Below are 18,062 nucleotides of genomic sequence, written 5' to 3'. Positions count from 1 at the left end.
AGGTGTCAAACCATATTAATTATAGGGCTCAATCCAAGTGTATTCACTTTGTATCTCCAACATACACACACACACAAATACGCTTTTTCAAACAATACACTCCCACAGATTCCCCCCAAGAATCCAATATGGTTCTCATCCCTGAAGGGTGGATCCCTTAATTGAGGATCACTGGCTTATAAAATCTCCAAAGAAGATCACAGTTTAAAGATGGAAAGACTTTATTCCATGAATAACCTGGTATTCCTCCTGTCTCCCTCAGTCACTCACAGATGTCAAGCTTAGTAGTTTTCTCTTGTGCTGTATGAGTTCCTTTCAGGATGTTTTCAAACCGCTCTGGCCTCCTGGTTAGGTGGCACTCACGACAACACCACTAGGTCCAACCCAGTTTCTCACTGGCAATATGTAGGTACTAATGCTGAAACCAAATCCTATTACTGACATTTAACCTAATCTTACCAATAACAGCTTGCTAGGGACTTCCAAAACCCATACTATGCATCTGTTTGTGGGATGAATTGGGATCTGCTTTTCTCTGCTACTGACTATGAATTTCAGGGGTGTTGGAAAGGACTGTACTTGTGATTTGGGCCTAGCTGTTTCAGGGAGCCTGAGGGAAGCTCTCATTTGTGTTTAGCCAAGGTTGGTGACATCAGGTTTCATCAAGTCTTCATATCTATGCACTACATAGAAAGCCTTTAAAAACTCATTAAAGTCAATGCTTCCATCTTTGTTCAAGTCCATTATGTTGGCAAGCTTATTGACTTGGGAATCATCAATGTGAACATTGTAGTGAGAACTAAAAAGTTTCCACATGGCACGAAATTCTTCCACGGAGATCAGGCCTAAAAGAATATAGGAGAAGGTTGTGAGTGTTCATTTTAAGACCCACCTAAGGCAAGGGTTGGGGAACCCACACTGATTAAATAGCCCCAGTTAGAAACTCACTAAACTGCCTAATCATGAAGATACTGAAGGATATGGAAGAGTAAGATCATAAATGTAAGAAACAATATCTCACTTTCAACTACCAAGGGATCCTGAACTTATTCTAAAGCCAGAATGAGCAAACAGTGAAGAAATGGGGACGGGGTTGTGGACTATGGGACTAAATGTGGTATAGAAATTACAAGACCTAAAATAGAAAGGTGAGGTGCATGGAAGGAGGGCAGAGAGGAGGATGACATCAAAGCAGAGGGAGAAGATACGGTGGGAGTCAATAAGAGGATTACAAACAATGGTGCTGCCTTTTTCACAGGCAATCATTTACTTTAATGTGTTGATCATTGATTTTTTTTTTTTTTCGGTGTTCAAAGGTCTCTGCATTAGGGGATTATCTGATGAGTTTTTAAAAATTTGAAAATAAGTAATTGTGCATCAAAGCTAAAGGCAGAAGGCCGGGCGCAGTGGCTCACGCCTGTAATCCCAGCACTTTGGGAGGCTGAGGTGGGCAGGTCATCTGAGGTCGGGAGTTCGAGACCAGCCTGACCAACATGGAGAACCCCATCTCTACTAAAAATAAAAATTATCAGGGTGTGGTGGCGCATGCCTGTAATCCCAGCTACTCAGGAGGCTGAGGCAGGAGAATTGCTTGAACCCGGGAGGCAGAGGTTGTGGTGAGCTGAGATCCCGCCATTGCACTCCAGCCTGGGCAACAAGAGCAAAACTCTGTCGCAAAAAAAAAAAAAAAAAAAAAAAAAAAAGCAGAAAATGACTTTTCATAGCCCTTACTCCCCAAAACAGAATCAGATTTCTAGGAATGATTTTTATGGCCATGAGTAACTAAGATACTGAAATGGATAGTAAATCATCTTTTCATTTGTGCTGGTGATTTATAAAAAGTTATTTCAGTTTGACTGATGGCTACCTAGGCTTCTGTAGGACTCTATGGTCTTGAATACAGAGTCTGCAGCCAAACTGAAATAACAATAATATTAAATGAGTTTCTTTTTCCCCTCAAGTTTCATCATGTTAGATGAAGAACAAAATAGATAAAATCAGAGTTCTGATTTCAGAGAACCAGATTAGCCTTTGCTTTCTACTACTGCTACCCCATTTTGACTTTTAGTCTAGTCTGTTGGGGCCTGGTGAAGGAGCTTAGTCCAAAACAATGGGCTCCTACAATTTTCATTTAACAGTATGCATAAGCAAGGCCTCCATCTTACCAATGAAGGTGTCAAACCATATTAATTATAGGGCTCAATCAAAGTGTACTCATTTTGTATCCCCAACATACACACACACATACACTTTTTAAATGGACTCATCCAAGTTCATTTATTTACCTGAGTGATCAGTGTCAATGGCATTAAATATGATTTCCAGGTCAGATCTGTATCTGTACAGAGTTTCAACTAGAGTAGAATGAGCCTAAAATAAAGATTTTCTAAGTGTTAGAACATATTGAATTCATGACACTGATCGCTTTTAGCAAATGTAACAAACAGAAAACATCATCAACAATTGAAATGATGTGATTTAGACAGAAATCTGAGAAGGCCAGACTTCCCTTGGAGGCCCCACCCTCTTCATTCAGTCTGTGATCCTCAGGGGACAGGGCCAAAATGAATAAGGCAGCAGTAACTAACACAGCCACCATTTACAGAGAACTTTATGTGGATTATTTCATTCGGTCCTCTACAACAAGAATGAACAAGAACAGAACTATTATTATGTCCATTTTACAAATTTGAAAACAGGGAGATAAAGGAACTTTCCCAAGGGTCACAGAGCTGGTGAGTGGGATTTAAATCTCGGCTGCCTGAAGCCAAGGCCTGTGATCTTAGTCACCATGGTAAACTGCCTCTGAAGTGACGTCAAAAGCCTCCTTCCTGGGGATACTTTAGTCTCTAACCTACCTTTACTTCCCTTCTCTCTGCTCTTAACGTCTCATCTTCACTGCAAATGATCACCCAAGTCCTAGCTCCAACCAGCTCCTTTTCAGCTCAATGTCATATTTAACTGCTGATGAATTGTTAACTAATAAGTATGGGGATCTGATAAATCTCCCTGATATTCACATTCTAAGAAAAGATTTCTACATTTCAAAACTCTTTCAGACATATTCTGGGTCATGTCAGCAAGTCTGTACACTCAGGCTTAACAAGCAATACATTAAGTATTAGAAATGGTATGTTGTATAAAAGCATGGATGTCAGGCCAGGCACAGGGGCTCATGCCTGTAATCCCAGCACTTTGGGAGGCCGAGGTGGGCAGATCACTTGAGGTCAAGAGTTCAAGACCAGCCTGGTCAACATGGTGAAACCCCATCTCCACTAAAAATATAAAAATTAGCTGGGTATGGTGGCAGGCGCCTGTAATCTCAGCTACTTGGGAAGCTGAGACAGGAGAGTCACTTGAGCGTGGCAGGCAGAGGTTGCAGTGAGCCGAGACTGCACCACTGCACTCCAGCCTGGGCAACAGAGCGAGACTCCACCTCAAAAAACAAACAAAAAGCATGGATGTCATATCTCCCCTTCTGCTAGACAGCACTTACAAAAAAAAATCCAGTATTTGATGTGGACTTGCTTGTGGAAGCTTTTTCTTTTTTCTTTTTGCTTATCCTGGGAACACACAAATTTGCTGAACAGACCACAGTGTACCTGGGAGATTCCCCTTCGGCTTTTCCTAAGACTGCCACTCCATCTATTAGATTATCCCACTCCCAGCTTCTCTTTTTTTGAGATGGAGTCTCGCTCTGTCACCCAGGCTGGAGTGCAATGGTGCGATCCTGGCTCGCTGCAACCTCCGCCTCCTGGGTTCAAGCAATTCTCCTGCCTCAGCCTCTTGAGTAGCTGGGATTACAGGTGGGCACGACCACACCCGGCTGATTTTTGTATTTTTGGTAGAGACGGGGCTTCACCATGTTGGTCAGGCTGGTCTCGAACTCCTGACCTCGGGATCTGCCCGCCTTGGCCTCCGAAAGTGCTGGGATTACAGGCGTGAGCCACTGTGCCCGGCCACTCCCAGCTTTTCAAAGGACTAAGTTATGTTTCACCCTGGCTAGGTTTTAGCTGGGGCTATGTTTCACTTGCCTCTTGTACAGGTTTTTCAATGCGGATATTCTGGAAGCTGGACATGTATTCAACGTTTCCATTTTGGTCTATGTTTACCAGATTCGAACTGAGGGATCTCCATGGTAAGTTCAGCCCCAAAATGTTCTCCATGCAAAAAGCCCACTGGCTCACAGAAAGTTTTCCTAACAACAACAATAACAAAGCCCAAATGATTTGTTAAAATATGATTTTAAAGAATGCAACCTCCTTGGGAGAGCCAGGGCAGCATGGGGCCAGCTGCTCTCCCTCATAATTTATCCTCCCAGGCCCTGCAGCCCTGAAGGAGAACTAACTCAAGGATATCTTCAGTGTTCCACAGATCGTGTCCTTCCTGTCACCTGTAAGAAATCAGACTTCACGTGTTAGATTTTTTTTTTCCTTTTTTTTGATTAACAAAGTAAGGTATGCTTACTTATTTATTTATTTATTTTTTTTTTTGAGAAGGAGTCTGGCTCTTTTCACCCAGGCTGGAGTGCAGTGGTGCCATCTGAGCTCACTGCAACCTCCGCCTCCTGGGTTCAAGTGATTCTCCTGCCTCAGCCTCCCAAGTATCTGGGATTACAGGTGTACGCCACCATACCCGGCTAATTTTTTTGTACTTTTAGTAGAGATAGAGTTTCACCATGTTGGCCAGGCTGGTCTTGAACTCCTGACCTCAAGTCATCTGCCCACCTCAGCCTCCCAAAGTGCTGGGATTACAGGTGTGAGCCACCATGCGCGGCCTAGGTTTGCTTATTATAGAAGATTTGAAAAACACAAAAGAATACAAAGAATAAAAGATGTATTATTCACCTGTCATTTCACAACTAATATTCTTTTCCTCCTAATATATGTAATTTTTCAAAACACAAATATCTTTATTACATATAGGCTGTTTCTATTTTTATAGGGATATCCATTTGGCCCAGCATCGTTTATTGAAAAGACTCCTTTGCCCACTGCTCAGCAGTGGGACCTTCAAGTGTCTATATATGCATGAATCTGTTTCAGGATTCTCTACTTGCTTCCATTGTCTATATGGGTATTCTTGTGCCAATTGCATACCATTCTAATTACTGTACTTTTATAATAGATCTTGATATATAATAGGGAAAGTCTTCCCACCTTGTTCTTTTTCTTCAGGAACATCTTGGCTATTTGGGGCCTTTTGTAATTCCACATGACTTTTAGATACAGATTCTCAAGATCTACTGAAAAATCCCCACCTTGGGATTTTGACTGAGATTGCATTGAAACTATAGCTCAATTTGGGAGGAATTTGTATCTTGACAACTTCAACCCTTATAGTCCTTGAACACAGTAATACCCACCCATTTATTTCAGTCCCCTTTATCTTAATAATATCTTAGAAATCTCATACCTCCCCCGTCTCTACTAAAAATACAAAAAATTAGCCAGGCATGGTGGCGGGCGCCTGTAGTCCCAGCTACTTGGGAGGCTGAGGCAGGAGAATGGCATGGACCCAGGAGGCAGAGCTTGCAGTGAACCAAGATCGTGCCACTGCACTCCAGCCTGGGCGACAGAGCAAGACTCCGTCTCAAAAAAAAAAAAAGAAATCTCATACCTCATTCATTAGGTTTCTCCCACAGTACTTGATTATCTATTGTGAATGGTATCTTTTAAGATTTTTGTTATCTAAAAGCTAATTGCTGGCTACCCCAGCTATCAATTTATTCCTACTTAGCTCCAAAACTAGTCTTTTTTTTTTTTTTGCACATTTTGTGATACTAGAGCTGGACCCTGTAATCATTTCCTCTTTGGCAGCTCGTATAACGTTAGTCTCTGTTAGTAGACAGTGCAGGAAGAACACTGCAAAGAACAGCAAAAGAAAAAGCTTTTCTTTCTGGTTCTGGTGTGCCTTGCTTCTTGTTTCTACAGCACCGCACGGTTAGCATGTGTGGAAAATGTAGTGGCACCCACCTTCTAGTAAATTTCACTGACACCACAGCCCATGGCTTCCTCACCATTAGTGTGTGGGAGACGCGGTGGTGCACAGCCCAAAGAGAGTCTTGCTGGCACCTCAGTGGGTGGCTCCATCCTCTCCAGTCCTGGCCCACCAGCCGGAGACCCAACTGTAACTTGAGGCACCTCAGTGAACTTCTGCCCTATCCAGTGGACCATAGCCACATCCTCACCAATGAGGGCTTGATCTCATCTCTTGATTGGGAGTAGGGGGTCCCTTCCAAGTTTTTCCTTCCTTGGGTCCTCTCTCTCAGCCTTAGACAGCAGCTCCTCCCTACACTTGCACTGGTTATTTGTTTTCTCTCTCTCTCTCTCTCTCTCTCTCTCTCTCTCTCTCTCTCTCTCGCCATGGTTTCGTCAACTTCAACAGTTCCCTCAAAGAACCATTTTTTGGCCGGGCACAGTGGCTCATGCCTGTAATCACAGCACTTTGGGGGGCCAAGGCAGGTGGATCACCTAAGGCCAAGAGTTGCAGACCAGCCTGGCTAACATGATGAAACCTTGTCTCCACTAAAAATACAAAAATAATTAGCTGGGCGTGGTGGCATATGCCTGTAGTCCCAGCTACTTGGGGAGGCTGAAGCAGAAGAATTGCTTTAACCTGGTAGGCGGAGGTTGCAATGAGCCAAGATCGTGCCACTGCACTCCAGCCTGGGTGACTGAGGGAGACTCCATCTCAAAACAAAACAAAACAAAAACAAATTTTTTTTTTTACTTTGTTAATCATATCTTTTACATTTAAGGTTATCATCAATGCCTCTCTAATTTGCATCCCATAAATTCTAATACATTGTATTTTCATTGTCATTCAGTTTCAGCAATCTAATTTCCATTGTGATTCTCTTTGAGCCAAGGATTATTTCTTTTTTTTTTTTTTTTTTGAGACAGAGTCTCGCTCTCTCTCCCAGTCTGGAGTGCAGTGGCGCAATCTCGGCTCACTGCAAGCTGCGCCTCCTGGGTTCATGCCATTCTCCTGCCTCAGCCTCCCGAGTAGCTGGGACTACAGGCGCCCGCCACCACGCCTGGCTAATTTTTTGTATTTTTAGTAGAGACGGGGTTTCACTGTGTTAGCCAGGATGGTCTCCATCTCCTGACCTCGTGATCCACCCTCCTCGGCCTCCCAAAATGCTGGGATTACAGGCATGAGCCACCACGTCTGGCCGGAGCCAAGGATTATTTCTAAGTATATTTCTCATTTCCAAGCCAAAGGGTGATTTTATTACTATCTTATGTTACGGAGTTGTATATGTCAGAGACTTTATTCTGTAATGTTTCCAATTCTTCAAAACCTATTGAGATTCACTTTATGTTCCAGTGTGTGGTCACTTTTTGTAAATGGTCCATTTGTGCTTGATAAGAATATGCATTCTGAAATTTGGGTACAGAGTTCTATGTAGTCTTTTAAGAAAAAAGTTTGCTGGCCAGGCGCGGTGGCTCACGCTTGTAATCCCAGCACTTTGGGAGGCCAAGGCGGGTGGATCACGAGGTCAGGAGACCAACACCATTCTGGCTAACACAGTGAAACCCCACCTCTACTAAAAATACAAAAAATTAGCTGGGCGTGGTGGCACACGCCTGTAGTCCCAGCTACTCGGGAGGCTGAGGCAGGAGAATTGCTTGAACCCGGGAGGCGGAGGTTGCAGTGAGCCGAGATCATGCTACTGCACTCCAGCCTGGGCGACAGAGCAAGACTCCATCTCAAAAAAAAAAAAAAAGAGTCTGCTAATCTTTTATCTGTTTGTTCTTTTAGTTCCTGAGAGAGGAGTATTAAAACCTCCCTCTATCGTGGTAGATTTTTCTACTTCTACTTTTTATTCTGTCAATTTTTGTTTTGAATAGTTTTGAAGCTATATGAATAAGTACATACACATTTAGAATGGATTCAATTGGCATAATTAATATTTTATCATTATGAAATGTCCTTTTTTATTTCTAGTAATATATACTTCCTTAGAGTCTACTTTGCCTGATACTAATAAAGCTGTCTTAGCTTTGTTTTTGTTAGTGTTTTCATGGTATATGTTTTTCTAAATTTAATTTCCAATGTTTGGTGTATATGATTCTATGGTCTAATTTTGCAACTGTTGAGAAATCTATCAGTCTAATCGTTATCTCTTTGTAGCAATATGTGTTTCCTCTCTGCCTGCTTTTTAAAGATTTTTTCTTTGCTACTGGTGCTCTGGAGTTTCACAACAAATGTGTGTAGGTCTGGATTTAACTTCATTTATTCTACTTGAGAATCACTGTTCCTCTTTATGAATTTGAGTCTTTTATCAATTCTGGAAATGTCTTAGCCATTACCATGTCAAATATATGGTCTCTTACATTCTATTCTCTCCTCCCAGTACTCTGAGTAGGTGTATGTTCAACTTCTCATTTTATTGTTCATAACTCTTTTTTTGTTTGTTTGAGACAGAGTTTCACTCTTGTCACCCAGGCTGGAGTGCAATGGTGCGGTCTCGGGTCACTGCAACCTCTGCCTCCTGGGTTCAAGCAATTCTCCTGTCTCAGCCTCCCAAGTAACTGGGATTACAGGTGCCTGCCACCATGGCTGGCTAATTTTTTGTTTTTTTTTGTATTTTTAGTAGAGGTGGGGTTTCACCATGTTGGCCAGGCTGGTTTCAAACTCCTGACCTCATGTGATCTGCCCGCCTCAATCTCCCAAGGTGCTGGGATTACAGGCATGAGCCACTGCGCCTGGCCTGTTTATAACTCCTAAACTAATTCTTTCTTGAGTAGCGTCTAATCTTCCGTTTAACCCATTCATTATGCTTTTACTTTTTTTAACAAGCATATTTTCTATCTCTTTGGTTTTTCTTCAAATCATTCCCAAATGCATGTTTCTGGTTCCATATTTCCTTTGAACATATTTATTTGCTAATTCCAATATTTGATGTCCTCGGGGAAATAATTGTTGTTTCTGCTGACTCTCACTCATGGTAGTTTGTATCCTTGTTTGTTTGGTAATTTTTGATTGTGATCTCATGTGAGTTGATCTTAATCTCTGGATACGTGAGTGGCCAAAATTAGGGATGCTTCCCTCAAAGATAAATTTGCATTTGCTTGCCAGGAGTCAGGGAGCATTACAGACTTAGGACAACTTTAGCCACTTTGAGGGTCCAAGCATGATGATGGAAGTCTCAAATTCAGCTTTTCCATCTTCCTACTATATTATAATTTAGTCTCAGAATTGATTGCTATACCAATATCAGCATTGGGCCCCAGGAAAATCTAGTCTTTTGTGCTTTCTTGTTGCTCCATGCTCTCACATGTGGTTTCAAATCATCTTTCACGGAAAGTGAAGATGCAGCTGGAAGATTCACGTTACTGTGAGGCTGGTAAATGCATTAACATTCTACATCCTCCAAAATCTAGCTGTTTGTTAATAAGAAGGCCCTCCAGAACATCTAGTCTAGCATACTATCAGAATAGAGGTTTAGGGCCGGGTGGCTCACGCCTGTAATCCCAGCACTTTGGAAGGCCAAGGCGGACGGATCATGAGGTCAGGAGTTTAAGACCAGCCTGAACAACATGGTGAAATCCCATCTCTACTAAAAATACAAAAATTAGCTGGGCGTGGTGGTGTATGCCTATAATCCTAGCTACTTAGGAGGCTGAGGCAGGAGAATTGCTTAAACCCAGGAGGTGGAGGTCATAGTGAGCTGAGGTCACGCCACTGCACTCCAGCCTGGGCAACAGAACAAGACTCTGTCTCAAAAAAAAAAAAAAAAAAGTTTAATTCAGGGTTGTTGTTAGTTTTCCAAGTTGAAAATAGCTTGCTAAAAGGGAGAAATATGCCTTTTTTGAGCAAATAATGGATTATATTTTATTTTTATCTCTATTCTTCCTTCTTAGTAAAAATGGAGAACTGAAATCCTAAGGAAGCAAGGAAAATGAAAAGTGATCTGTATGTAACTTGGTGTGTTAAGAAATGGTAAATGTTATGCAAATTTGTTACCTGATTTTCTGTGGTCTTGAAGTTGGAAAGCACGAGTAAGGTCACTTTTTCGTGAAATCACTCTCTCTCTTAATATCTTGATGGCGCTGTTTTCCATAGTATCCACTCTGCAAAGAAAACAATAATTAGGTAAAAGTAACATAAATCATCCTGTTGTGTTTCATTTTAATGTGCAATATTACTATTTATGAATTTTTACTTTAAATGAATTGCCCAGATTCTCACATATCGCTACTAGATGGTAAATATATGCATATGTATATGTATGTGTATGTGTGTGTGCATGCACACATGCATTTCATGAAGTTTTAAAAGGATTACAAATAGTATTTTCTTTTGAATGTCAAAACTCACATGAACAATCATTTGAAAAGAAGGAAAATAAAGAGGAACTTACTATACCAGATATTGAAATTTATCATTAAATCACTGAGATAAAACAACAGATGTTGACACAAGAGAAGACTGATACATGAGTAGAACATAATAGAAATTTCATAAACAAAGGCCGGGTGTGGTGGCTCACACCTGTAATCCCAACACTTTGGGAGGCCGAGGCGGGTGGATGACAAAGTCAAGAGATCGAAACCATCCTGGCCAAAATTGTGAAACCCCGTCTCTACTAAAAATACAAAAATTAGCTGGGCATGGTGGCACGTGCCTGTAGTCCCAGCTACTTGGGAGGCTGAGGCAGGAGAATTGCTTGAACCCAGGAGGCGGAGGTTGCAGTGAGCTGAGATTGCACCATTGCACTCCAGCCTGGGCAATAGAGCCAGACTCTGTCTCAAAAAAAAAAATTCATAAATATATCAAACTATGTATGGGAATAATATATATAATACAGAGGTATTGCAATTCAGTAGAAGAGGACAATTTTTAAAAAGAGTGCTAGGATAGTTAGCTAACAACCTAGACTTCAACCTCTACCTCAGACCATTTACAAAAATAAATTTTCAAATAAAGGAGGAACAGAGGAACAAAACAGTCACACACATACATATAATTACTGTTTTGTTCCTCTTTGTATTTTTTGTGCATGTACACACACACACACACACACACACACACACACACACATGGCAAAATGATAGATGTAAATCCAGGCATATCAATAATAACATCATATGAGAATGGATTAAATAATCAAAAGGCAGAGATTGTGAAACTGGATAAAAGCAACAAAACAAGATCTAACTATATGTTGTTAATAGGAGACACACTTTAGTCTCAAAAATACAAAGAGTTTAAAAGGAAAAAGACAAAAAGGAAATTCCATGCAAACGGCAAGCCTGAGAGCTAGAGTGGCATACCAATAGCAGACAAAATGGACTTTAAGACAAAAATTGTTACCAGAGACAAAGAGGGGTATTTTATAATGATAAAACAGTCCATCAAGAAGATGAAGCAATTATAAACACATGAGAACCTAACAACAGAGCTCAAAACTACATGAAGCAAAAACGGACAGAACTGAAGGGAGACATAGACAATTCAACAATAATATTGAGACTTCAATAGTCGACTTTCAGTAATGGATGAAACAACTAGGTGGAAAATCAACATGGAAAGAGAAGTCTTGAACAGCACTCAAACCAACTAGACCTCACAGATATGTATAAAACACTCCACCCAACAACAAGAGAATTACATTCTTCTATAGTACATGTGGAACATTCTCCACAATAGACTCGATGCTAGGCCATAATATAAGCCTTAATAGATTTAAAAGGATTAAGATCAAAGTATCTTTACTTTGAAGAAAATTTAGGATTTATTGAAAGAAATAAATTAATAAAGTAATTTGGGAAAATAAATAAATTAAAAATTAACAACAGAAGAAATTTGGGCAAGTCACAAATATGAGAAAATTAAACAACAAAATCTTAACCAATAGGTCAAAGAAGAAATCACAGGAGAAGTCAGAAAATACTTTTAAGATGAGTGAAAATGAAAATACAACATACCAAAACATATGAAGTAGTGCTTAGATAAAAATTTATAGCTATAGATGCCTATATTAAAAAAAGAAAAAAGATCTCAAATCAGTAACATAATCTTCCACTTTAAAAGATTGGAAAAAGGCTGGATGTGGTGGCTCATGCCTGTAATCCCAGCTACTTGGGAGGCTGAGGCAGGAGAATCACTTGAACCTGGGAGGCAGAGGTTGCAGTGAACCGAGATCACGCCATTGCACTCCAGCCTGGGCAACAAGAGCAAAACTCCATCTCAAAAAAAAAAAAAATAAATAAATAAAATAAAAAATTGGAAAAAAGAGTAAACTGAACCCAACATAAGCAGATAAAAGGAAATAATAAAGAATAGAGCAGTAAGAAATGAAATAGAGAATGGAAAGATAATAAAGAAAAATCAACAAAACTAAAAATTGGTTCTTTGAAACTAAATTGTCAAACTTTTAGAATGTCCAAGAAAAAAAAGAAAAAAGACTCAAATTTCTAAAATCAAGAGTGAGAGGGGACATCACTACTGACCTTACAAAAGTAAGAAAGATTATAAAGAAATACTAAGAACAACTGTAGACCAACAAATTAGATAACATAGATGAAAAGGACAAATTGCTAGAATGACACAAACGATCAAAACTGACTAGGAAGAAATTAAAAAACTGAACATGCCTGTAACAAGTAAAAAGACTAAGTAATCAAATGATTCGCAAAGACAAGCCCAGAGCCAGATGGCTTCACTGGTGAATTCTATGAAACATTTAAGGAAGAATTAATGCCAATCACTCACAAACTCTTCCAAAAAGAAGAGGTGGGAATACTGCCCACTTAGAAGCTAGTATTACCTTGATACAAAAACCAGATAAAGATCACAAGAAAACTACAGACCAGTATCTCTTATGAATATAGATACAATATCCTCAACAAAATACTAGCAAATGGCATCCAGAAACATATAAAAAGGATTATACACCATGGGTAAGTGGGATTTATTCTAGGAATGCAAGCTTTGTCTAATAGCTGAAATCAACCAATGTAATATACCATATTAACACAGGACAAATAAACAATGGGGAAAGGACTCCCTATTCAATAAATGACACGGGGATAACTGGCTATTCATACGCAGAAGAATGAAACTGGACCTCTACCTATCACCATATGCAAAAATTAACTCAAGATGGATTAGACTTATTAATAAATGTAAGACCTCAAACTGTAAAAATCCTAGAAGAAAACCTAGGACATACCCTTCTGGACATCAGCCTTAGCAAATAATTTATGACTAAGTCCTCAAAAGCAATTGTAACAAAAACAAACATTGACAAATGAGAACTAATTAAACTAAAGAACTTCTGCACAGCAAAAGAAAATATCAACAGAGTAAGCAGGCAACCTAAAGATTGGGAGGAAATCTTCACAAACTATGTATGCAACAAAGGTCTAATATCCAGAATTTATAAGGAACTTAAACTATTCAACAAGCAAAAAACAAATAGCCCCATTAAAAAGCGGGCAAAGGATATGAACAAACACTTCTCAAAACAAGACCTATAAGCGGCCAACCAACATGAAAAAATGCTCAACATCACTGAACCTCAGAGCAATGCAAATCAAAACCACAATGAGATACCATCTCACACCAGTCAGAATGACTATTATTCAGAAGTCAAAAAATAATAAATATTGGCAAGGCTGCAGAGAAAAGGGAATGCTTATACACCGCTGGTGTAAATGCAAACTAGTTCAGTCACTGTAGAAAGCACTTTGGAGATTTCTCAAAGAGCTAAAAATGGAACTCCCATTTGGACCCAGCAATCCCATTACTAGGTATATACCCAAAGGAAAATAAATCATTGTACCAAAAACACATGCAGTTGTATGTTCATCATAGAACTATTCCTAATAGCAAAAACACGGAATCAACCTAGGTGTCCATCAATGGTGGATTGGATAATGAAAATGCAATACATATACACCATGAAATAGTATACAACCATAAAAAAACCAAAATCATTTCTTTTGCAGCAACATGGATGCAGCTGGAAGCCATTATCCTAAGTGAATCAACATAGGAACAGAAAACCAAATGCCATATGTTCTCACTTTTAAGTGGGAGCTCACCATTGGGTACACATGGACATAAAGATGGGAAAAATAGACACTGGGAACTACTAGATGGGGAGGCAGAAAGGAGGGCAAGGGCTGAACAACTAAGTATCGGGTATTATGCTCACTACCTGGGTGATGAAATCACTCATACATCAAACCCCAGCATCACACAATATACCCATGTAACAAATCTGCACATGTACTCCTTGAATCGAAAATAAAAGTTGAAATTTTAAAAAATCACAAAAATCACATGATCATCTCAATGCATGCAGAAAAAATTTATCTGATGAAATTCAACACTCTTTCATGATAAAAACACTACCCAAACTAGGCATAGAAAGAAACTTCTTCCACTTGACGAGAGGCATCTATAAAAATACACAGCTAACATCATACTTAATTATCAAAGAGTGAATGCATTCCCTTAAGATCAGAAATAAGACAGGTATATCTGCCCTCACCAGTTTTATTCAACACTGTACTGGAGGTTTTAGCCAGGATGATTATACAAGAAAAATAAATACAAGGGATCCAGATTGGAAAAGAAGTAAAACTGTCTCCATTAACAGATATGATCTAGGTTATAAAAAATCTCAATGACTCTACTAGAAAAAGATTAAAACTAACAAGTTAATCAAGATTGTACAAGATCAATATCCAAAAATCAATTGTTTTTTTTTTTTTTTTTTTTGAGACGGAGTCTTGCTCCGTGGCCCAGGCTGGAGTGCAGTGGCGTGATGTTGGCTCACTGCAACCTCCGCCTCCCGGGTTCAAGCCATTCTTCTGCCTCAGCCTCCTGAGTAGCTGGGACTACAGGCGTGTGCCATCACACCCAGCTAATTTTTGTATTTTTAGTAGAGACAGGGTTTCACCATATTGGCCAGGCTGGTCTTGATCTCCTGACCTCGTGATCCACCCGCCTCAGCCTCTCAAAGTGCTAGGATTACAGGCATGAGCCACCGTGCCCGGCCAATCAATTGTATTTCTATACACTAGAAATCAAGAATCTAAAAATATAATTAAGAAAACAGGCCAAGTGCGGTGGCTCACATCTGTAATCCCAGCACTTTGGGAAGCCAAGACTGGAGGATCACTTGAGCCCAGGAGTTCGAGACCCAGCCTAGGCAACATAGTGCGACCCTGTCTCTACAGAAAATTGAAAAAATTAGCCGGGTGTGGTGGTGCAAGCTAATTTTAATGTAAGGCCCAGGAATTTGAGGGTGCAGTGAGCTATGATCACATCACTGCACTCCAGCCTGGGTGACTGAGTGAGACCCTGTCTCCAAAAAAAGAGAAAAGGAAAGAAAAGAAAAACAATTCCATTTACTATAGCAGCAAAAGGAATAAAATATTTAGAAATAAATTTAGCAAAATAAGTCCTAGACTTGTACACTGAAAAGTTCAAAATATTATTGGAGGAAATTAAAGAAGATTTAAATAGAACAAAATTTCATGTTCATGGATTGGACAACTTAATATTGTTAAGATGGTAACAGCCTTCAAATTGATCTACAGACTCAACATAATCCCTATCAAATTCTCAGCTGGTATTTTTGCAAATTGACAAGCTGATTCTGAAATTTACATGAAAATGCAAGGGACCCAAAATAGCCAAAACAATCTTTAAAAAGAAGTGCAACGTTCAACTCACATTTACCAGTTTTAAAACTGTAGTAAGTTTGTAAAGTTACAATAATTAGGACAGTGTGGTCCTAGCATTAGGATAGACATAGACATAGACAAATAGAATACAATTTAAAGGCCAGAAACAAACCCTTATATTATGGTCAACTGATTTTTGACAAGAGTGCCAAGAAGGAAAGAACAGTCTTTGAGTCATGGTTCTGGGACAACTGGATATCCACATGTAAAAGAATAAAGCTGAACCCTTCCTTCACACCATACACAAAAATTAACTCAAAATGGATCAGAAACCTAAGTGTAGGAGCTAAACCTATAAAACTCTTAGAAGAGAACATAGGAATGAATCCTTATGACTCTGAGTTAGGCAATGCCTTCTTAGATACAACACCACCAAAAAAGCACATAAATTGGATTTCATCAAAATGAAAAATGTTTGCACTACAAATAATACCACAGAGAAAGGGATAAGAGATCCCACAGAATGAGAGAGAATGTTTGCAAATCAAATACTGAACAAGTGGCCAGTCGTGGTGGCTCACGCCTGTAATCCCAGCACTTTGGGAAGCTGAAGCAGGTGGATCTCTTGAGCCCAGGAGTTCAAGATCAGCCTGGGCAACATGGTGAAATCCCGTTTCATCAAAAATACAAAAATTAGCCAAGTGTGCTGGCTTGTGCCTGTAGCCCCAGCTACTTCAGAGGCTGAGGCAGGAGGATCAATTGAGCCCCGCAGGCCAAGGCTGCAGTGAGCCATGATCGCCTTTGCCTGGGCAACAAAGTGAGACCCTGTCTCAAAAAAAAAAAAAAAAAAAATATATATATATATATATATATATATATACTGAATAAGTGATGTGTATATAGAATAAAGAACTCTTGCAATGCAAAAATAAAGAGTGACAATTAAAAATGGAAAATGTACCTGAAATATAATATTTCTAAAGAAGATGTACAAATGTCCAATAAGCACATGGAAAGACGCTCAACATCATTAATCATTAGGGAAATACAACGCAACACTACAATGAGATTCTACCTCACACCACTAAGAGAACAATAAGAAAAAAGAGAGATCAAGCTGGGCGCGGTGGCTCACACCTGTAATCCCAGCACTTTGGGAGGCCGAGGCGGGCAAATCACCTGAGGTCAGGAGTTTGAGACCAGCCTGGCCAACATGGAGAAACCTCATCTCTACTAAACATACACAAATTAGCTGGGCATGGTGGCGCATGCCTGTAGTCCCAGCTACTCGGGAGGCTGAGGCAGGAGAATCACTTTAACCCAGGAGGTGGAGGTTGCAGTGAGCCAAGACTGTGCCACTGCACTCCAGCCTGGGGCAACAAGAGTGAAACTCTGTCTCAAAAAAATAAATAAATAAAAAGAGATCATAACAAGAGTTGGCAATGATGTAGAAAACCTGGAATCCTCACACACTGATGGTGGAAATGGTAAACTGGTTAGCTTCTTGGGAAAAAAGTTTGCAAGTTTCTCAAAATGTTAAACACAGAGTTACCATATAACCCAGCAATTCCATTACCAAGTATTTACTCAAGAGAAATGAAACATGTACACACAAAAACTTGCCCATGAATGTTCATAACACCATTGTTTATAATAGCCAACTAGTGGAAACACCCTAAATATCTATCAACTCATGAATGGACAAACAAAATGTGGTCTATCCATACAATGGAATATTATTCACCCATAAGAAGGAATGAAGTACTGATATAGAATACAACATGAATGACCTCAAAAACATTGTGCTGAGTGAAAGAGGCCAGCCACAAAAGACCACATATTGTGTGATCTCATTTATATGAAATGCCGAGAATAGGCAAATCCATAGAGACAGAAAATAGATTAGTGGTTGCCTAGGGCTGTGATGGGAGGAGGTGACTGAGAAATGACTGCTCAGTGGGTATGAGTTTTCTTTTTAGGATGGCAAAAATGTTCAAAAGTTAGATAATGGTGATAGTTGCACAACTCTAAACGTACTGTCATTGAATTGTAAATGGGTAAACTTTGTGGTATGTAAATTACATCTCAACGTAGCTGTTAAATTTGAGAATTTGTGTGTGTGTGTGTGTGTGTGCGCAGAGAGAGGCAGAGACAGAGAAAGAGAAATTTTCTAAACAAAGGTACAGATCCAAAAATTATAATGAAATTATAAATAAATATGGTATGTTGTTTTTCAGATTGTCCAATGTTATAACCCTTCTGAAGTAGCTATTAAAATTTTAAACATATAAATTCCATAAATTCCACATTGTAAAATCTTACATTAAAAAAGCCACTAAAACTTATGGATATATGTCCACACACACACACACACACACACACACACACACAGAGGATTTTTTCCAGCTT

General features: G+C 39.6%; 1 protein-coding gene across 19 annotated transcripts in view; it reads right to left on the bottom strand.

Annotated features, from left to right (window-relative positions):
- PPEF1 (protein phosphatase with EF-hand domain 1) overlaps positions 204–18,062 on the bottom strand; it is a 152,851-nt gene continuing 134,992 nt past the window's right edge. For all 19 annotated transcript variants that reach the window (XM_047442194.1, NM_001378382.1, NM_001377986.2 and 16 more), the window contains 4 exons: positions 9,976–10,082; positions 4,035–4,198; positions 2,286–2,370; positions 204–845 (listed from right to left, as the gene is read on the bottom strand). In XM_047442194.1, the coding sequence (XP_047298150.1) occupies positions 634–845; positions 2,286–2,370; positions 4,035–4,198; positions 9,976–10,082 (568 nt within the window). In that variant the 3' untranslated portion in view covers positions 204–633. The remainder of the gene's footprint in view (positions 846–2,285; positions 2,371–4,034; positions 4,199–9,975; positions 10,083–18,062) is intronic.

Source organism: Homo sapiens, chromosome X (genome assembly GCF_000001405.40).
Source record: "Homo sapiens chromosome X, GRCh38.p14 Primary Assembly".
Lineage (NCBI taxonomy): Eukaryota > Metazoa > Chordata > Mammalia > Primates > Hominidae > Homo > Homo sapiens.
Note: the sequence above shows the minus strand (reverse complement) of the source record. Positions and strands in the feature narration are given on the sequence as shown.